Genomic DNA, 21103 nt, shown 5'->3' on the forward strand with positions numbered 1-21103 from the left:
AACGGGCCAGGGGTGTGAGGCCCAGGGATGGACCTAGGCAGCCAGCCCCCCGCCGTCTCATCCACAGCACAGACCCTGGTCCAGCCCCTCCTCCCCGGTACCCCCAGAGCCTCAGGCGAGTGGCCCTGGCACCCACCTCCGGGATTCTCGGTCTTCAGCACCTCATACCGCTGCTGCAGCGTGCGTTTGCTCCCAGCTGCCTTCTGCCGCACGCTCCGGTACTGGCTGCCCAGGCTGTGAGGACAGAAATGAGCTGGGAACCTGGGCAGCCCACCACCCCCTGCACCCACAGAGGCGGGACTGCGGACTCTGGCTGGGCAGACACCCCAGAGGAGCCTGACAGCTCCTTAGATGCGGACAGCAAGTGCTCACTGTGGCACTGGCCTTTCTGTGCTCCTGGGCTCAGAGCTCTTCTCCCTCCTTCCCTCCTCTTTCGTAGGAAGTCTCACTACCTAAAATTGTCTGTCCAATAATCACCACCAAGATGTTACTTCTGAGGGAGCATACACAGTAGGTGCTCAATAAATACTTAATAAATGAAGGCATTCCTTGAATGATCCACTCATTCAGCAAGGAGTTCCTGGGCACCTACTTTGTACCAGGTACTTAACTAGGCCCTGGAGAGAGGAAATTCAAGGAGCCCAGGCCCAATGAGACTGACGCATACGCTAGTCACTTAATAAAAAGCGGTGCGTGCAGTGGAAGAAGGTGCCTGGGAGCAAAGAGGAGGCAGCCCTTATCCCAGCTGAGTCCTCCAGCCAAGGGGCTGGGGTCTGCAAGTACAGGGAGCAGTGCGTGCGGGAGTCAGGGGCCCTTAGAAACTGCTTAGAAACTCGTGAGGGGGCCAGGACGAAGCCCAGAGCTAGACATTCATGTTTAGCAAGTCAGCTGGCCCACAATCTGCCCCTCTCCTGCATGAACTTCCAAGGGGGTGCAGATGGAGAGTGTCAGCGACCCCGCGCTCCCCACAGGCTGAGTCCAAATCCCCGGGGCTATGAATGGGGCCTGAGAAGCCCTGGGGGTGGGACTGGTCCATGCAGACTCCCGCCTTTGCCCTTGTACCTGTCAGCCAGAGCCAGGGCCTCAGGGTCTGTGGGGGGGATCACAAAACACACGGCCGGAGCAATCAGCTTGTTCCCAGCGCTGTCCATGAGCTCCCAGCTCTCCCCGTTGTTCTTCTGCAGGGTGTAGCTGTAGCCCCGCGAGATCAGGCCCTGGCGGGGGCAGGCTGGACAGTCAGGATCCCGGCAGGGCCTGAGGGCCTGGGAGCCCGGTTGCCATCTCAGCCCCCGACTCTTGGACCTGGGGAGCCCCGGCTCATCACTTGGACCCTCCCCGTAGAGTGGGGAGGGGCATGCAGGAGAAGCACATGTGTTGAGGCTGCCGGCCCAGCAACCCACCTCCATTTCCCTTTGGGGAACCTTCCCTCCCAATTCCCAGTCCCTGTGGTCTCTCCTTCTCCATTCCCAAGCTCCAGATGGACATGTGACTTGGACCTGGCCAATGACTGGCATTCGCCAGCCACAGTCATTGGTATAGGGTGGACCCTGGCATTCCCTGGCCACAGTGATTGGTGTAGGATGGACACGTGACTCACAGTGAGCCAATGAGAACCTGGCCTGGGACTTCTGAGGAGGGACTGGGGTTGCTAAGCTGGTGGAACACAAGGCCAGGGCAGCCGAGGTGGGGGCGGCATAGGGGTGCCAGTTGGCCTGCACCAGGGGAAGGGTTGGCAGAGTGACACCAACCACGGAGACAGGCACAGGCTCCTGAGAACGGCGCCTGAGGCCCGGGATCCAACCATGTTACCCCAAAAACTTTGTAGTGATGTGAACAGAGGAGCTGGCCCCACGCACCTGCTCCCCCTCAAAGTCACAGAGTGCCTCCACGGGGATGGGCTTGAGCGGAGTCTCCCGGCGGTACTTGAGGGGCACCACCTGCTGGCCTCGCTTCTGCAGCCCCTGCACCACGTCCTCATACTTGTCCAGCACCTTCTCCTGGTCCTGGAGAGAACGGGGTCAGGGGCCCAGGTGAGACCAACAGCCTTCCCCCTGGTGGGAGGACGCAGAGCAGGGGCTGGATTCAGCAGGTGGGGTGCTGTGGAGGGGCCTGTACAGGGCTGAGGGCAGGCATGGTGTAGAGGGGTCCCCCGCCCCCCGGGCCAGCAGGGGTCCTGGGCCATCGCTCACATCCAGCTCCCGCAGCAGCAGCTCAATCTGGTACCGGTCCTTGAAGTCAGGGCCATACTTCTGGTTCAGGTCCGAGTCCACCTTGCGCAGCAGCTCCTGAGCGTCCTTCACGTCTTCGTGAAACTAGGGGAGAAGGTGGCTCTGTTACAGCCAGGAAACCACTAGAAGCACCTGGGCTTCTGTCGGAGGCTTCAAGCTCATCCCTCAGGCGGGGCTGGGCCTCCGGTTCACCTGGAGTCCAGCATGGGACCCTGTGCTGAGCCTGAGGCTCCTCTGCGTGGAGACAGCCCCACCCTCCCTGAGCTGGCTCCTTAGGGGCCTCACTGGGAAAAGCCAGGTCCCTTCCCACCCATCCATGAGATGCCACCTCTGTGACATGTTTTCTTGGATGTATCAGTAAGTCTTGAGGTGTCTTTGATTCAGTTCCTCTCTCTGTACTAGGAACATCCAGACTTAATACTATAGCTTCTTTCTAGGTTTTGATAATAGCCTCCCCTTTTTGTTCTCGAAAATTCTCTTGCCCATTCTTCAGTCTATCAACTCTTGGTTCACTGTCAGCTATCCCCTGGGCTGAGCACCTGGGCTGCAGCCATAAACAGGACCTGAAGCCCCCACTGTGCGGCTCAGACAGGGAATGAGGAGTGACACGGCGTCGCCCACATCCAGCTTTCCCCAGACACCTCAATCCTAAGAATTACCCGCAGCTTCTTAAGAACTCTCATTCCTCTGGAAACAGACAAGTGTCCAGCCACAGATGAGTGGATAAACACAGTGGTCTAGCCATACAATAGGATATGATTCAGCCATAAAAAGGGGTGAAGCACTGAAAATGCTACAACACGGATGAACCCGGAAAACATGATGCTCAGTGAGAGAAGCCAGACACAAAAGGGCAGAGATTGCATGATCCCACTGATTCTTCATATTCGTTCTAGGTGTGACACTTCTGGAACAGGCAAGTCCATAGAGACAGCAAGAAGACCAAAGGTGACCTGGGGCTGGGGGAGTGGGAATGGAAAACTTACTGCCTAATGAGTACGGGGTTGTTTTTTTTTTTTTTTTTTGAGGCGGAGACTCACTCTGTCGCCCAGGCTGGAGTGCAATGGCGCGATCTCAGCTCACTGCAACCTCTGCCTCCTGGGTTCAAGCAGTTCTCCTGCCTCAGCCTCCCATCTGGGACTACAGATATGGGCCACCACACCTGGCTAACTTTTGTATTTTAGTAGAGATGGGGTTTCATCATGTTGGCCAGGCTGGTCTTGAACTCCTGACCTCAGGTGATCCAGTCGCCTCGGCTTCCCAGAGTGCTGGAATTACAGACATGAGCTACCGTGCCCAGCCAGGGTATAGGGTTTCTGTTTGGGGTGATGGAAAGTTTTGCAAGTAGATGGTGGTGATGGTTGCATAACATTGCGAATGCAATGAATGCCACTGAATTGTACACTTAAAAATGCAAACTGGCCGGGTGTGGTGGCTCACACCTGTAATCCCAACACTTTAGGAGGCCGAGGCGGGAGGATCACCTGAGGTCAGGAGTTCGAGACCAGCCTGACCAACATGGCGAAACCCCATCTTTACTGAAAATACAAAAATTAGCTGGGTGTGGTGGTGGGCACTTGTAATCCCAGCTGTTCAGGAGGCTGAGGCAGGAGAATCACTTGAACCCAGGAGGTGGAGGTTGTAGTGAGCCGAGATGGCACGACTGCACTCCAGCCTGGGTGACAGGGCAAGACTCTCTCAAAAAAAAAAAAAAAAAAAAAAAAGGCAAATTTTGTTTTATGTATCTGCATGTATATTATAGATTTTACCAAAATTAAAACCCTACACACTCACCCTGGGCCCCATGTGACCTGGGGAATCAGACTCTGGCCCTGGTCCCCAGGGAAGTTGGACAGGGGCCGGCAAGCTTGGGACATGTCTGCACACGCCATCAGAAGCATGGGTGCTGGGGGCCTGGGATGGCTGCCCCGCAAGGCTCCTGGACCAAGGAGCACGAGGCCACACATGAGCCAGGTAGGCACTGAGCGCTCTCAGAGAGTAGCACCCCCGGTGCTGGGGGGACTCCCAGGAAAGGTAAGTACCTGGTGGTAGTCCTCCATGTACTTGAGGTGGCTCTCCTCGCAGATGAGCAGGTTCAGGTACTCCTTCCAGTCTGCGTGCACAGCCTCCATGTGCGCCTGCCAGGAAGAGAAGGGGCCGGTCACCACTGGGCAGGTACTGCAGACACCAAGGGAGGGACTGCTGGGATATTGGGCTGGGGCATGGCGGGGGAGGGAGGCATCTGGCATCTGTCTGGGTGTGGCTACCACAGGGGTAGCCAGCTTCTGCTCAGGAGTGGGAGGAGGAGAGAGGGGTCACGTCAAGGAGCCAAACAGGGATGCCACATACGGATGCCCAGGCTGTGCAGTGCACAAAGGGCAAGTGGGGGCTGTGGTGCCTTCGGCAAATCTGTACAAAGGCACTGTCATGGACCGAACAGTGTCCCACCAAATCCATGACCCTGGCCAGGCATGGTGGCTCACACCTGTAATCGCAGCACTTTGGGAGGCCGAGGCGGGTGGATCACCTGAGGTCAGGAGTTTGAGACTAGCCTGGCCCACATGATGAGACCCTGTCTCTACTAAAAATACAAAAATTAGCTGGGCATGATGGTGTGCGCCTGTAGTCCCAGCTACTTGGGAGGCTGAGGCAGGAGAATTGCTTGAACCCGGGAGGTGGAGGTTGCAGTGAGCCAAGATTACACCATCGCACTCCAGCCTGGGCAACAACAGCGAAACTCCATCTCAGGCGGGGTTGGTGGCATTGTGGGGGTTGGGAAGAATGCGACCTTATTTGGGAATAAGATCTTTGCAGATGTCATTAGTTAAGGATCCTGAAATTAGGGTGAGCCCTAAATCCACTGACTGATATCCTTATAAGAAGAGAGGATACAGAGAGACATGGGGAGAGAAGGCCATGTGAAGACGGAGGAAGGGACTGGAATGATGCAGCCACAAGCCAAGGGCTGTTGGCAACCCCCAGAAGCCGGAAGAGCAAGGAAGGCACATGTCCTGGAGCTTCCAGAGGGAATGAGGCCCTAAGACACCTTGATTTCAGACTTACAGCCCACAGACCTCTGAGAGAATGAATTTCTGTTGTTTAAAGCCACTAAGTTTGTTTTAACTTGTTGCAGCAACTCTAGGAAACTAATACAGACCCCACAGGGGCTTCAGAAGTCCAGGGGCTGAGGGCAGAAGTGTCAACGGATCAGGATAAATGGAGGAGGCAGAGTCAGACACAGCAAGAAAGAGACAGACAGACACAAGATGCAGCTTGCAGGACCCCCAGCTCCGGGGTCTGCCCGAGCTCCAGGCGGCCCACAGGCAGCGGCCAACCAGAAGCCACCCTGGGGGAGGTGTCTGGTCTCGGGGTGCATGAACCTCAATGGAGTTCCTCCCGGGGTGCTCGGCCGCCAGCAGCTGGTCGCCCTCGCTGTGCAGTTTGTTGATTCTCTCCTCTTTGGCCTCCAGGTTCCGGTTGATGAAATTCTGCAGTGGGGGGCAGTGGAGGGGCCTCAGTGCCCAGCCTGGCGGTCCCGTGCTCCTTCCAGGGCTGCCTCCTCCCTGATGCCCCAGGCCCCCAGAACCCACCTCATACTGGCGCCGGCGGCTGGGGTAGTCGAGGTTGCGGTCACTCCAGTCGTACTGCATGCGGCCCTTGGCCTGCTGGTCCAGCCAGTACAGCTCATTGGTGCAGCGCTGCATGTAGTCCTGCAGCGAACTCAGGTGCTGCTGCCGGGCCTGTGATGCTGCCTGAAGGGGCCGGGGCAAGGAAAGGGCTGCGTCCTCAGCCCGCTGCCACTGCTCGCTTCCTTCCCTACCTCCTGCAGGGCCCAGCTATGGCTGGCCTGAGGACAAGCCCAGCTATGGGTGGCCTGAGGACAAGCCCAGCTTAGCCACGTCCAGGCCAGTCCCCCTTAGACAAGTCACCTGAACCCCTGAAACTCATTCATTCATTCATTCATTCATTCAGTAAATGTTTACTGAGCATCTACTACATGCTGGACATGGCTCCAGACACTGGGGATACAGCAAACGAAACACACAAAACCCTTACGGAACTGACATTTTTGTGAAGGCTTAGTTCGCCCATCTGTAAATGGGGAAGATGACAGTCCTGACCTCACAGCGTACAGAGACTGGCATATAGTTGGTGCTCAACAAATATCAGTAACTATAGCTTCTACTTTTATCTGTATCATGATCGTCTTATAGAGGGCTGGAAGGAAAGCACCACTGTACGTCTGAGAAGCGGGTGTGCAAGGGAAAGGAGGGATGTTTGCATTTTGGTACGTGGGGCCCTCCACGCCTGATGAACTTCTGCAACATTGACTCATTTCATCCTCAAAGCGACCCTATGAGACAGGAACATGTAGGAGCTCCATTTCTCAGATGAGGAAACTGAGGCTCCCGGAGGCTAAGTAACTCGCTCAAGGTGTCACCACTAACACTAAGGAGCAGAGGAAGCATGGCTCCTTATAGCGACACAATGCTGCCTCTGTATTCTCTGTCTGAAACATTGGCAACAAGGAAGCGTTTGCATAACACTTATGCAATTTTTAAAAGAATGCATTCTTTAAAGGTTTGGGAAGGAAAATGGAAAGCTTTTGTATAGAAAGCAAGTGGCATCATACTTGGCACACAGCAGATAATAAAGAAATGAGCAGGACAGGCTGTACCCCTGGGGCCTGTTAGGGTTTTCCCTGAACAACCAGGGCAGACCTTGCAGCCGCTCAGGAAAAGGCTGGGGCACCTCTCTTCCCGCCTCAACCCCTCTCCTGATTGAAACGTTTACTGCACGCCTTTTTTTTTTTTTTTTTTTTTTAAAGGCAGGGTTTTGCTCTGTTTCCCAGGCTGGAGTGGAGTGGCACGATCACAGCTCATTGCAGCCTCCACCTCCTGGGCTCAAGCGATCCTCCCACTTCAGCCTCCCAAGTAGCTGGGACCACAGGCATGCCACCAAGCCCAGCTAATTTTTAAATGTTTTGTAGAGCTGGAGTCTCACTATGTTGCCCAGGTTGGTCTCAAACTCGTGGGCTCAAGTGATCCTCCTGCCTCTGCCTCCCAAAGTGCTAGGCGTGAGCCACCATGCCCAGCTGCCTATGTCATTTTTAAAACAATACATCCTTGTCCCCCCGACTCCAAGCTTCCCATCCTCTCCTCTCCCCATGAGGCCTTTCCCCCAGGGAGCTCCTCACCAGCAGTTTCTGGTACTTGGCCCGGAGTTCGCTGTTCTGCTCCTGAGGACAGAGCCGAGGGCATGGGTCAGGGCCAGGAAGCAGGCGCGGCCCCCTCCATCCCTGGGTCCCCACCACACCAGCACACGCCCCACCTTGTCCCCGTCCTTGGCCAGGTGGGGCCCGATGGCCTTGACCTCATTGTGGAAGATGTTATGCTCCTCCACTTGGTGGTCCACCAGCGGCAGGTCAGTCCCAAAGCTCTGGTTGTTCAGCTTGTCCTGGCCAGGAGGGCAGAGAAGCAATAAGGAGAGGGTGGGCTGAGGGCTGGGGACGTGTGGCCACCCCAGGAGCCTCGGGGGTGGGCATGATGGTGCTCTCTTTTTCACGGGGCCCTGCAGAGCCACAAGGAGATGCTGGCCACACCTTCAACCCTGAGGTTCTGTTTGCTGAGCACTGACCTATATCATCTTTCATCTCACAGAGCCTCAGGGGTCCACATGGTTACTGTCCCATCTCTCAGATGAGGACACAGAGGCTGAGGCTGAATGAGGGCCAGTCACCTGCCCAGGGTCACGCCAGTAACATTGGGAAAGCTGGCCAGGCATGGTGACTGATGCCTGTCATCCAGGCACTTTGGGAGGCCAATGGGGTCGGATCGCTTGAGCCCAGGAGTTTGAGACCAGCCTGGCCAATGTAGCAAAGCCCCATCTCTACAAAAATACAAAAAATTAGCCAGGTGTGGTGGCATGCACCTGTAATCCCAGCTACTTGAGAGGCTGAGGTGGGAGGATCACCTAAGCCTGGGAAGTTGAGGCTGCAGTGAGCCGTGATCATGCCACTGCATTCCAGCCTGGGAGACAGAGTGAGACCTTGTGTCAAAAATAAATAAATAAATAAATAATAAAACTGGGGAAGCTCAGGAGTTTGAGACCAGCCTGGCCAATGTGGCAAAGCCCCGTCTCTATAAAAATACAAAATATTAGCCAGGTATGATGGCGTGCACCTGTAATTCCAGCTACTTGGGAGGCTGAGGTGGGAGGATCACCTAAGCCTGGGAAGTTGACGCTGCAGTGAGCCATGATCATGCCACTGCACTCTAGTCTGCGCGACAGAGTGAGACCTTGTCTCAAAAATAAATAAATAAATAAATAAATAAATAAATAAATAAAACTGGGGAAGCTAAGGCTTGAACCCGGGACACCTAGCTGCAGTGGCTGTGTGCTTCTCTGTGGTGAGCACCCAGGAAAGGGAGCGACAGGCCAGAAGCCTGGCCGCTTCCGCCCCAGCCTGCCCACAAAATGTCACCAAGACCCCAACATGCCAGGGTTGGAAAGTGGGACCCAGGAGCAGCAGCGAGGTGTGGCTGACAGGGGACAGAGTCCGAATCTCCACCGCTTGAGCTGTGTGACCCTGACTTCGTGCTGCACTTCTCTGAGCCTCACTCTTCTCATGGGCACACTGGAAAACCATCAGGACCACGACTGTCTCCCTGGTAAGACCCGGGATGCCCATTACATGGGTAGGCTCTCCCTGCACACGCACAGCCCCCTCCCCAGCTGAAACCCTGGAGCCAGCGGCCCCGTCCAGGCCATACCAGCTTCTCCTCCACCAGTGCCGCCCAGTTGACCTGTGGATCCACTTCCTTCACCGCCAGCCTGTAGATCTGCTTGTGTTTCCCGCGCAGGTTGGTCACACGCTCCTTCAGCTGGCGGATACTGATGGGAGAGAGGCTCCCACTTAGTGGGGCTGGTTGGCACTGCCTGCACCCCAGGAGGGGCCCCCCACCCAGACCCCGGCCTCAGTGTCCTGGAAGGACACAGTGACCATATGGCCTTGGGTTCCAGACAATCACAGCATCCTCTCACCCCTCCTCCCATGCACTTTTTTTTTTTTTTTGAGACAGAGTCTTGCTCTGTCACCCAGGCTGGAGTACAGTGACGTCATCTCAGCTCATGGCAGCCTCCGCCTCCCAGGTTCAAGCAATTCTCCTGCCTCAACCTCCCGAGTAGCTGGGATTACAGGCATGTGCCACCTCGCCTGGGTAATTTTGTATTTTCAGTAGAGACGGGGTTTCACCATGTTGGTCAGGCTGGTCTCGAACTCCTGACCTCAGGTGATCCGTCCGCTTCGGCCTCCCGAAGTGCTGGGATCACAGGCGTGAGCCACCGTGCCTGGCCCCACCCACTTTCCCTCAACCTTCCTTCCCCCATCAGTTTCCTGAGGGCCTACTATGTGCCAGAATGATAGAAAGTTCTGGAATAAGCAGGAAAGATCTTGTTTTCTGGAGTCTGCCATCCAGCAGGGCCCACAGTGTGGTGCATGCCATGCCAAGGACAAGTGCCAAGGGTCGTGGGGCACCGAGAGAGCCCTGCCCTTGCCGGGGTGGAGATAGGGCATGGGACAAGGCAGGAGTCAGGGGGGCTGATTCATCCACGATAAAATGAACTGGGAGTCGTGAGCCAAGGAAGCCAGGGACAGGGCACCAGGCAGCGGAAGAGCTCGCTCAAAAGCTCACAGGTCAGGCTGGTGGCTCCAGAACAAGGGATATCAACTCCCTAAGCCTCCATTTCCCCAACTGCAAAATAGGGTCATCAAGAGGATCATGTGAGGCTGGGCGCGGTGGCTCACATGTGTAATCCCAGCACTTTGTGTAATCCCAGCACTTTGGGAGGTCGAGGCAGGCGGATCACCTAAGGTCTGGAGTTTGAGACCAGCCTGGCCAACATGGAGAAACCCTGTCTCTACTAAAAATACAAAAATTAGCCGGGCATGGTGGTGCATGCCTGTAATTCCAGCTACTTGGGAGGCTGAGGCATGAGAATAGCTTGAACTGGGGAGGCAGAGATTGCGCTGAGCCAAGATCATGCCATTGCACTCCAGCCTGGGCAACAAGAGCAAAACTACGTCTCAAAAAAAAAAAAAAGAAAGGATCATGTGAAGCCTTTGGCACGTGCCTGGCACCTAATTAGCCCTTGATAACCCCTGACTCGGGCTCCCAAATGCTGAACAGGACCCCCCGCCCTGGCCCATAGCCCCCAATGGCTCCCCTGGGGTAAGAAGCAGAAGGGACCTACTCCTCGGCGATCATGTCCCCCTGTGGGTGCTTCATGTGCTTGGCAATGGCCGCATCCGCCTCTAGCACATAGAGCAGCTTCTCAGAGTCCAACACCTTCTGCAGGGTCACGTCCCGGTGCTCAGGCTGCCGACCCTCCTGCAGCCGAGCCAGGTCCTGTGAGGGTCACAAGAGAGGGGACAATGAACAGGAGCCGAGAGCGGGCACGGTGGCAATGGGAGGGGTGGGAGGAAAGGGGTCAGCAGGGTGCTCCCCTTCTTTCCCTTTGAATAACGTCTTCCAGGCTTGTCCATATGGAGCGCAGTCGGTAGTTCCATCTCTTTGCTGCTACGTGGTATTTCTCAAGTTCACTTTGCAAAGCAGGTATTTCTCTTATGCCCCCTCCAGCCTGTCCTCCAGCCACTCAGCAAACAGAGCTCAAGTACCTACTGTATGCAAGGAGTTGGGACACAGCTGTGAACAGAAGAGACATGGCCTCCCTGCCTGGCACTCACAACCCAGTCTGCAAGGCCACCAGGAAGGCCAGTCAAAGGATGAGCCTCATGGAGGTGACTGCAAGTCCCTCCAAGTCAGTGTTTATGAAAGAAATGCTCCAGAGGTGGAACGAGGGGACCTACTTCAGCTCTGGTGGTCAGGGAAGCCTCTTCGTGGTGGAGACACAAGCTAAGAACAAAGGATGAAAGGGACAGTGTTCCAGCCACAGGAACAGCCTGTGCAAAGGTCCTGAGGCAGGAGAGAGCGAGCTACGACTGGGCCATAGTGAAAAGGTCTCTGTGGATAGGGAGGAAACAGGGCAGGCGGGGGGCGGGGAGGGTGAGCAGCTAGAACACACAATGGCTGCAAGGAGGGATCCTGCACAGCTCCATTTGTGCTTAAAGGCGATGCCTCCAGGGGCTCTGCAGAGAGGACAGCAAGGGTGTGGGCTGGGAGGGCAGGCAGTGGTCTGTGGCAGCAGCCAGGTGACAGCGAGGTGGCACCAGCAAGAAGGAACAGAGCCGGGGGGATATCTGGAAGGGGCCGTCGATGGTTGCTGATGAGTACAGGGCTTCTGTTCGTTTAGGGAAGAGCAATGAATGGCAGCCGGGACAGTAGGTTTCTAATCACAGCGGGTTAATTCACTGTGTCAATATTCAAGAAGTCTGGCTGTGAGTCTACACCATGCTAGGTCCTGGGGATGAATCCCTGAGGGATCCCCAGTCCCGCAGGGGAGGCAGTGACATGTCACTGAGGGGAATGAGTGCAGGTTGGCTGACGCTGGGGCACTCAGAGCCGGCCGCCGGTCCCTTCCCCTAGCTGGGTCTCAGCATTCCCATCTCTATAATGGGCATAAGGAAAATACCCGCTTATGAAGTGAACTGAGAAATACCACTTAGCAACAAAGAGCAGGAACTACGGACCGTGCTCCATCTGAACAAGCCTGGAAGACGTTATTCAAAGGCAAAGAAGCCAGACAGAGCCCACATGGTGTGGGATCCATTGATGTGAAGTGTCCCGAACAGGCAAGTCCAGAGAGATGGAAAGTCACTGTCTCTTAAGTGGTTGCCTGGGGCAGGGCTGGGAAGAGGCATTAACAGTAAATAGGCACAAGAGATCTTGCACGGGATGAAAATATTCTGAAACTGATTCATGGGCGTGGTTCTGCCCCTTGCTAAAGTTACTCAAAATCATTGACTTGTACACTTGCAGTGGGAGCCTTTTTTAAGTGAAATATGTCTCCATACAGTTGTTTTTTAAAAAGAAAAAGCAAAAGGAAGAAAAACGAGAAATACACAGGGGTGACGTGGTGCCTGGTACGAAGTAAAGACTTGGCTTCTTCTTGGAGGAAGAAAATGTGTCAAGAGTGCCTTTGCCTGGCTAAGTCTGGAAGGGCTGAAGGGTGAACAGGCCTGACTCCCCAGGGGGTTGGAGATGAGGCTGATGTCCCGAAAAGCCGCTGGAGGCCAGGCACAGTGGCTCATATCTGTAATCTTAACACTTTGGGGGGCTGTGGCAGGAGGATGGCTTGAGCCCAGGAGTGCAAGACCAGCCTGGGCAATATAGTGAGACCCCATTTATTAAAAAATATTTTTAAAAGGTAGCTGGGTGTGATGGCATGCACCTATAGTCCTAGCTACTCAGGACGCTGGGGCAGGAGAATCATTTGAGTCCAGGAGTTCAAGGCTGCAATGAGCTAAGATTGCACCACTGCACTCCAGCCTTGGCGACAGAGCGAGACCCTACCTCAAACCAACCAATCCAAAAAGCCAATGGAACCAGGCATCCCCCAACCCTGGGGTAGGCTGGCCCGTTAATTACAACAAAACATCAGCTTCTTGACTTGGAGTGGAATTTTTAAATTTTTTTTGTTTTTTTATTTTTGAGATGGAGTCTCACTCTGTTGCCCAGGCTGGAGTGCAGTGGCACGATCTCGGCTCACTGCAAGCTCTGCCTCCCGGATTCACACCATTATCCTGCCTCAGCCTCCCAAGTAACTGGGACTGCAGGCGCCCACCACCATGCCTGGATAATTTTTTTGTATTTTTAGTAGAGACGGGGTTTCACCGTGTTAGCCAGGATGGTCTCGATCTCCTGACCTCGTGATCCACCCGCCTCGGCCTCCCAAAGTTCTGGGATTACAGGCGTGAGCCACCGCGCCCGGCCTGCTTGGAGTAGAATTTTATTCACTCCATTATCACCAGCTTCCCTGAGCTGCAGATCAAAGATTAATTTTGCAAAAGGAGGAAGTCCATTAATCATTGCCTAATTCGTGAAGGTGCCCGGTGGGAATGCAAGTTCTCTCAAAACACTGGCTGAGAGAGAAAGAGAACATCTAGCTGAGGGAGGCTAGTGTTCGAAAGTTCAAAGTCGGGCAGAACTGATCGATGGTGAGAGAGATCAGCATAGGGTTGACCCCTGAGGGATATCAACTAGGGAGATGGCCCGGGAGCTTTCTAGACAGTTACCCATCTTGCCACAGACAGTGGTTATCTGGGTACCTATTGATGCAAAAATTCACCCAGGTGAAGTCTGCGAATGTAGACACTTCTCTAGAGTTTATATAAGTTATACCTTGATAAAAAAGTTTTTTAAAGTCACAGGGGCCAGGTGCAGTGGCTCACGCCTATAATCCCAGCACTCTGCGAGGCCCAGGCGGGAGGATTGCTTGAGCTCAGGAGTTGGAGACCAGCCCGGGCAATATAGTGAGACCCTATCTCTAAAAAAAAAAAAAAAAAAAAAAAAATACAAAAATGAGCCAGGCATAGTAGCATGCGCCTGTAGTCCCAGCTACTTGGGAGGTTGAGGTGGGAGGATTGCTTGAGCCCAGGAGGTTGAGGCTTCAGTGAGTCGTGATTGCGCCACTGCACTCCAGCCTGGGTGACAGAGCAAGACCCTGTCTCAATAAAAAATAAAAATAAAAAATTATAGGGACTGATATATCTAATCTCACACACACACACACACACACACACACACACACACACACACACACACGGACAGATACATGATAAAGCCAATTCAGCAGACGTTCCTTGTAGGATCAGGTGGTGGGATATGGGTGTTCGCTGTACGGTTTTCTGCATGTTTAGCATTTGAATAAATGTGTGATGCAGTGTATGATTCTGTTTATGTGAAATATCCAGAATAAATAAATCCACAGAGAGAAAGCAGATTAGTTGCTGCCAGGGGGAAAGGGGAGGTGGGGAGTAACTGTTAAGGGTGTGGGGTTTGGCTCTGGGGTAAGGGAAATGTTTGGGAACTAGATCGAGGAGATGGTTGTGTAACATTGTGAATGTATGAAATGCCACTGACTTGTACACATTACATGGTTAATTTTATGTTATGTGAATCTCCCCTCAATTAAAAAAAATGGAAAATTCAACAGAACTGGGAAATGAAATAAATAGTAGTATCTTTAGCAAAAAGAACATAAGAAAAAGATTGTGTGATCCATGTAGTCTTCAAAGCCTAGCTTCTTTTTTCAAGTGGGTTCAGTTGAAGTTAAAAAAATAGGCCGGGTGCAGTGGCTCACACCTGTAATCCCAGCACTTTGGGAGGCCGAGGTGGGCAGATCACAAGGTCAGGAGTTTGAGACCAGCCTGGCCAATGTGATGAAACCCCATCTCTACTGAAAATAAATAAATAAATAAATTAGCTGGGCGTGGTGGTGCCTGCCTGTGGTCCCAGCTACTTGGGAGGCTGAGGCAGAAGAATCACTTGAACCCGGGAGGTGGAGGTTGCAGTGAGCCGAGATAGCACCACTGCACTCCAGCCTGGACAACAGAGTGAGAGACTGTCTCCAAAAAAAAAAAAAAAAAAAGAAAGAAAGAAAGAAAAAATTGTTCAGGCCAAGCACACAGTGGCTCATGCCTGTAAATCCCAGCACTTTGGGAAGCTGAGGCAGGAGGATGGCTTGAGGCCAGGAGTTCAAGACCAGCCTGGACAACATAGCAAGGACCTCTGTCTCTGCAAAAAAATAAAATAAAAATGGTTCAAAATTACCTATTTTGAGTCAATACTTCAGGGAAATAAAATGAGAAGGTTAAACCCTCTTCCTTCTTTCTCTCTCTCTCTCTCTCTCTCTCACACACATACACAAAGGTCAAACAGATATACACCAATATGTTAATAGTCAGTAGATACCTCTGGTGGTGGAATTCTACATGACTGACTTTATTGATTGATTGATTGATTGAGGCAGGGTGTCCCTCTGCTGCCCAGGCTGGAGTGCAGTGGTGTCATCTCTGCTCACTGCAGCCTCAACCTTCCGGGCTTAAGCGAGCCTCCCACCTCAGCCTCCCAAGGAGCTGGGATTACAGGCACACACACCACCACACCTGGCAAATTTTTCATATTTTTTGTAGAGACGAGGTTTCACCATGTTGCTCAGGCTTGTCTGAAACTCCTGGGCTCAGGTGATCTGCCTGCCTAGGCCTCCCAAAGTGCTGAGATTACAGGCGCGAGCCACCGCACCCGGCTCATGATTTTAATTCACTTTGTTATGCTTGTTTATCCATCGTGAAATGTGTGTGATGAACACATATTATTTTTGTTATGAGGAAAAAAGAGACACACCCCCAAAAGATGTTTTCCATTTAAGAAGGAAAGAAATCCACCACCACAGGGGGCCTCAGATGGCAGAGGATGTAACTGCAAATGACAAGGGGAGCTGATGGGAGGGAACAGGTGTGGGGTGGCCAGGCAGAGGCCAGGGAGGCAGGAGGTGGAGGCCCAGGGGGGCATGGAGGCGGGGGCCCCAGGCAGGAGGCCAGGGCAAGGCCCACTCCTGGGGCCCCTGCAGGGGATAGCTGGTGGCAGAGAACAGAGTCTCCACTTATCTGCCCCCTACACCCCCGTGGACTGTGCCCACCCCAGCCCACCTACCCGCTTGGGTCTCTTGGCTGCTGTGGACAGGCCTTCAGAGGGTGGGCAACTGGGCCATCAGGAGCAGCCAAGGGGGTTGGATACCTATGGCTGGGCCTGGGGACAGCAGCTTGGCCGGGTAGACCTTGACCTCCCTCCTGACCTCCCCACCCTCAGCCTCCCACTCCTCTGGTCCCACCTTTTTTTTTTTTTTTTTTTTTTGAGACAGTCTTACTCTGTTGCCCAGGCTGGAGCGCAGTGGCACGATCTTGGCTCACTGCAACCTCCGCCTCCCGGGTTCAAGCGATTCTCCTGCCTCAGCCTCCTGAGTAGCTGGGATTATAGGTGTGCACCACCACGCCCAGCTAATTGTTGTATTTTTAGTAGAGATGAGGTTTCACCACATTGGCCAGTCTGGTCTCAAACTCCCGACCTCAAGTGATCTACCCACCTCGGCCTCCCAAAGTACTGGGATTACGGCCGTGTGAGCCATTACGCACCTGGCCTGGTCCCACTTCTTAGTCGCCCCTGCATAGGGATGCCAGATGAAATACAGATCACCACTTACACTTGATTTTCAGATAAACAATAAATAATGTTTTAGCATAAGCCTTTCCCTAATAACACATGGGCTTTCCTGCTACTAAAACATGATTTGTGTTCTGAAATTCAAATGTAACTGGGCATCTCATATTTTATTTGCTAAATCTGGTAACTCCACCTGCAGGCCGATGCTGGCACCATCTCTGTCACTGACTCATCATCCCAGCCCCTTCTAAACCTCAGTTGCTCCAGGGTACAAAACAGGCATCAACCCAATCGCACCGGGCTGGCGCTGGTGGAAGGTTTAAAGAGAAGGTGACCATTCCAGCGGCTCGTGAGTCCCTCAGGGTACAGAGGCTTCATGCCGTTGAGTCCACTGGGCAGTTGTTATCCCCATGTTACAGAAAGGGAAACTGAGGCACAGATAGGGGAAAGTGATTTGCCCAGCTATTTTATCTCTCTTCTCCAAAAAAGGTGGAGAAAGACCTGCACCCTGAGTGCTGGCAGCAGTAGGATGAGCAGTGAGAATGATATTGACGATAATAGCCCTGTCCTATACCTGCATAATCTCATTTAATCTTTACAACCACCCCGCCAAATGGGAACCATCACTCCTGCCTGCTTAGAGAGAATCTCGTTCATGGGGAGGTGGGATGGCTCACTTGTCCAAGGTCACCCAGCAAGGACAAGGCTGGGCTGTTTCCATAGAGCCTGACCCCATGGCACTCCTCCAGGCAGGAGACGCTTTCCACAGGGCCCAGGAAGAGGGAGGAACTTAGTATCCGGGAGGTACTAGTATTAACGACAATGGCCAGGTTCCTCTCACAGAGCAGGGCTTCCTGACCTTGGCACCCCTGCCCTACAGTGCACGGTAGGGTGTTCAGCAGCATCCCTGTCTCCCCTCCCCAACTGGACGCCAGGAGGACCTTCCTTCCAAGCAGTGACAACCAAAATGTCTCTGCATGTTCCCTCGGGGCCACAATCACCCCTGGGTGAGAATCACCGATTCCAAACAGATCCTGGTCCTGAACAGGGCTGGCAGCACGGGGCACCCAGGTGGGAGTGGGAGTGGGGGCACTCACACTCTGCATCTTGGCCTCTGTGTCCACGATGTTCTTCTCCACCTGGTCGGCATTCTTCTGCAGCTGCTCGATCAGCTCCGAGAGCTCCTTGTTAGAGATGCTGCGGGCAGAAGCCGAGGGGAGATGGGCGGGGTGCCTGGTGGGTGGGGGCTATGTCCCCACCAGCACCCCATCCTCTGGCTGGCCCCGGCCCCACGCTCTGAGCAGGAGCTGCCCACAGAGCCTTTGAGGTAGTTGGGCTGTTCCCATAGGGCAACATCACTAAAGCCACAGAGACAAGGCAGCGCCTGGCAGGCGGTCAGCCTCCTTTTTTTTTTTTTTTTTTTTTTTGAGATGGAGTCTTGCTCTGTCACCCAGGCTAAAGTGCAGTGGCGTGATCTCAGCTTACTGCAACCTCCACTTCCTGGGTTCAAATGATTCTCATGCCTCAGCCTCCCCAGTAGCTGAGATTACAAGCATGCACCACCAAGCCTGGCTAATTTTTGTATTTTTAGTGGAGATGGGGTTCCACCATGTTGGCCAGGCTGGTCTTGAACTCCTGACCTCAAGTGATCCACCTATCTTGGCCTCCCAAAGTGCTGGGATTACAGGCGTGAGCCACCGCGCCCGCCCAGCCTCCACTTTGATCATTCTCTCTAATGCTTCTATTTTTTATTTTTATTCATTCATTCGTTCATTCATTCATTCATTCATTCATTTTATTGAGACGGAGTCTCACACTCTTGCCCAGGCTGGGGTGTAGCGGCACAGTCATGGCTCACTGCAGCCTCTATCTCCCAGGCTCAAGCAATCCTCCTAGCCCAGCCTCCCAAGTAGCTGGGACTACAGGCACATGCCACCACTCCTGCATAACTTTTACATTTCTTTTGGTAGAGAAGGGGTTTCACCATGTCACCCAGGCTGGTCTCGAACTCCTGAGCTCAAGCAATTCGTCCACCTTGGACTCCCAAAGTGCTGGGATTACAGATGTCAGCCACCAGGCCCCGACTACATATTTTTTTGTGAGAGATAGGGTCTCACTCTGTCACCCAGACTGGAGTGCAGTGGCGTGATCATAGTTCACTATAGCCTCGAACTCCTGAGCTCAAGCAATCCTCCTACCTCCACCTCCTGAGTAGCTGGGACCACTGGCACCACCAGCACACCCAGCTTCTAATGCTTCTATTTTGCCATGTTGGCAAAACGCACCATATTTGAAAAATTGGGAGATAACTCACATACCGTAAAATTCACCTGTTTAAAATACACAGTCACTGGCTTTTAGTACTACACATTCAGAATCGTGCAACCATCACCACTATCTCATTCCAGACATTTTTATCACCCCAAAGCTCCACACCCACAAGCTGTCACTCCCTATTCCCCACCCGCTCCAGCCCCTGGCAACCAGGAATTTACTTTTTCTCTCTATGGATTTGCCTATTCTGGACATTTCATATAAATAGAATCACACAACACGTGGCCTTTTGCGTCTGCCTTCTCTCAGCATAATGTTTTCAAGCTTTGTGCATATTGCAGCATCTATTAGAACTTCATTCTTTTTATGGCTGAATAATATTCCATCACGTGGCTACTTCACATTTTGCTTATTCATTCAACAGCTGACAACCATCTGGGCCGTTTCCACCTTTGGGCCATCGTGAGAATCACGCTGCTATGAACGTTCGGGAACAAGCTTTTGTGTGAGCAGTCTTATTTTTAATTACCTGATATTTTTCTTTCAACCTACTCGTTTTATTTTAGAGTTAAATGTGTTTACAAAGGTAACTTCTCTCCCCATTTTAATCAGAAATCAGAAGCCCTCACCATGAGTGAATTAGCTGCCAAAATAAATTTCATGGGAACGCAGTGGCACTGGGTTCCGTGGTGACACTGGGCTGCCCGCTGTTACAAGTCAGGAGGTGTGACAGCCGTGGTGGCGTCAGGCCCAGCCTTTCTCCTGATCTTCTCAGAGCGCCTGAAAGAGACTTGAGGCCCGGTGTGGTGGCTCATACCTGTAATCCCAGCACTTTGGGAGGCCAAGGCGGGCGAATCACCTGAGATCAGGAGTTTGAGACCAGCCTGGCCAACATGGTGAAACCCCATCTCTACTAAAAATACAAAAATTAGCTAGGTGTGGTGGCATGCGCCTGTAGTCCCAGCTACTCGGGAGGCTGAGGCAGGAGAACTGCTTGAACCTGGGAGGTGGAGGTGGCAGTGAGCTGAGATTGCACCACTGCACTCCAGCCTGGGTAACAGAGCGAGACTCCATCTCGAAAAAAAAAAACAAGAAAAGAAAAAAAAGTCTTGAAAGCAGACTGGCCCTCTCCCTCACTGTCTCTGTGTCCCCTCCTGTCACATTTGTCTACTGCCCCCCGTCCCCCAGAACCACAGACAGACCACTCTGGAAAATGCTCTAATGGGAGTTAGTTAAGACTTTGGCCCTGGGGTTAGCTGTGGGTTCAGATCTTGGCTCCCATCAGCCACTTAGTGGCTGTGTGACTTGGCCCAGCTCCCTTGCCTATCTGTGCCTCTGTCTCCCAATCCGATGGACTAGAGTAACAGTCCTTTCCCGGGGCCAGGGTGGCAGGGGTTATGAATGGAAGTGAGGTTACACTACCAAAGGACTGTGCATAGAGCCGGGCACAGAATAAGTCTGAACAAAGGTTTGTGATTTTAGTTGTCAAGGAGCCTTAGAGATCACCCAGCTCTGCCTCTGTGGTTTTGAGACCGAGTCTCACTCTGTCACCCAGGCTGGAAGTGCAGTGGTATCATCTTGGCTCGCTGCAACCTCCACTTCTTGGGGTCAAGTGATTCGGCTGCCTCAGCCTTTTGAGTAGCTGGGATTACAGGTGTGAGCCACCATGCCCAGCCTCCTTCTGTTGTTTTCTTTAAACAAAGAAAGAAAGGGAAACCAACTTGGCCATTGTCACCCAGTTAGCCAGCGATGATAGCTCCCCTGTCTCCACTGAAGACCCACAGTGGGGCCTGAGTGGCTAGGCACGCAGAAGTTGCCTTCTACTCACACTCATTAAGCACCTGCTGTGTGCGGGCCCTGCACCTCACAAAGACAAGCCTCTCCCTCCCTGATCCACCCCACAGACCAGGAGGAAATCAGTATTTATAGAAACAGTCACGAGACTGAGGCAGGCCTGGAGGCTGGGGATGCCCAGGGGAACCTCTGGACTGGCTGGGTGGGGACAGCGGTGGTCACTGAAGGCTTCCTGGAGGAGGTGGTGTCGGCTGGGTGCTAAAGCAAAAGGAAGAATTTGGTGTTCCTGTGCAGAAGGCTCCAATGAGGACACGCCATAGAGAGAGGCAGGTCCTGGCACGTCCCGTGGGGTGGGCCAGGGCGGGGTTCTTGACCGTCAAGGCAGAGGGGACCACCAGCCCTTTCGAGTGATGCTCCCCAGATCAAGGTTCTGGGGCCTAGCATGAAAAATTCAGATTCCCGGCCACTAACCCAGACCTGCTGAACCCAGGTCTCCAGAGCTGGGCCCAGGAAGCTGTATTATTATTACTATTTTTGCAGGTTCCCCAGGGTACCTGGACACCTACCGGAGTCATGGACCAGCAATGCAGGTGCTGTTGATGTTGGGGGCATTGGGGGCAGAAATGGCAGCAGCCAACATGCTGGGGATCCATCCGTCTAGGTTCCACACCTTGCTTAAGGGCCAGC

At 53.3% G+C, this 21103-nt stretch overlaps 1 protein-coding gene and 1 long non-coding RNA gene across 6 annotated transcripts in view, besides 1 other annotated feature; one reads left to right on the top strand and one right to left on the bottom strand.

Annotated features, from left to right (window-relative positions):
• Nucleotides 1–21103, bottom strand: part of PPL (periplakin) — a 54642-nt gene that overhangs the window by 10898 nt on the left and 22641 nt on the right. For 2 of the 4 annotated variants that reach the window (NM_002705.5, XM_006720902.5), the window contains exons 2-13: nucleotides 17446–17545; nucleotides 10482–10636; nucleotides 9002–9122; nucleotides 7560–7685; nucleotides 7426–7467; nucleotides 5819–5980; nucleotides 5609–5716; nucleotides 4271–4366; nucleotides 2190–2312; nucleotides 1857–2003; nucleotides 1063–1214; nucleotides 137–234 (exon numbers count right to left, since the gene is read on the bottom strand). In NM_002705.5, coding sequence (NP_002696.4) covers nucleotides 137–234; nucleotides 1063–1214; nucleotides 1857–2003; nucleotides 2190–2312; nucleotides 4271–4366; nucleotides 5609–5716; nucleotides 5819–5980; nucleotides 7426–7467; nucleotides 7560–7685; nucleotides 9002–9122; nucleotides 10482–10636; nucleotides 17446–17545 — 1430 coding nt within the window. Of the gene's footprint in view, nucleotides 1–136; nucleotides 235–1062; nucleotides 1263–1856; nucleotides 2004–2189; nucleotides 2313–4270; nucleotides 4367–5608; nucleotides 5717–5818; nucleotides 5981–7425; nucleotides 7468–7559; nucleotides 7686–9001; nucleotides 9123–10481; nucleotides 10637–17445; nucleotides 17546–21103 lie in introns of all 4 variants that reach the window. The other 2 variants (XM_017023375.3, XM_017023374.3) reach the window with 1 other exon arrangement.
• Nucleotides 1854–2699: an enhancer, noted in NCBI's record as "H3K4me1 hESC enhancer chr16:4945259-4946104 (GRCh37/hg19 assembly coordinates)". NCBI's record gives its function as "activates a minimal SCP1, AML or CMV promoter by ChIP-STARR-seq in naive H9 embryonic stem cells {active_cell/tissue: H9 hESC(naive)}" and the evidence as "EXISTENCE:reporter gene assay evidence [ECO:0000049][PMID:30033119]".
• On the top strand, nucleotides 1948–21044 carry LOC124903637 (uncharacterized). Of its 2 annotated transcripts, none has more exons than XR_007064966.1 (3): nucleotides 1948–2030; nucleotides 3125–3176; nucleotides 19047–19479. It is a non-coding gene; the product is annotated as an uncharacterized LOC124903637 (long non-coding RNA). The 2 variants fall into 2 exon arrangements; XR_007064965.1 differs by lacking the exon at nucleotides 1948–2030 and adding an exon at nucleotides 20957–21044 and having other exon boundaries at nucleotides 2312–3176; nucleotides 19047–19127.

The sequence above is a fragment of the Homo sapiens genome, chromosome 16, assembly GCF_000001405.40.
Source record: "Homo sapiens chromosome 16, GRCh38.p14 Primary Assembly".
Taxonomy (NCBI): Eukaryota; Metazoa; Chordata; class Mammalia; order Primates; family Hominidae; genus Homo; species Homo sapiens.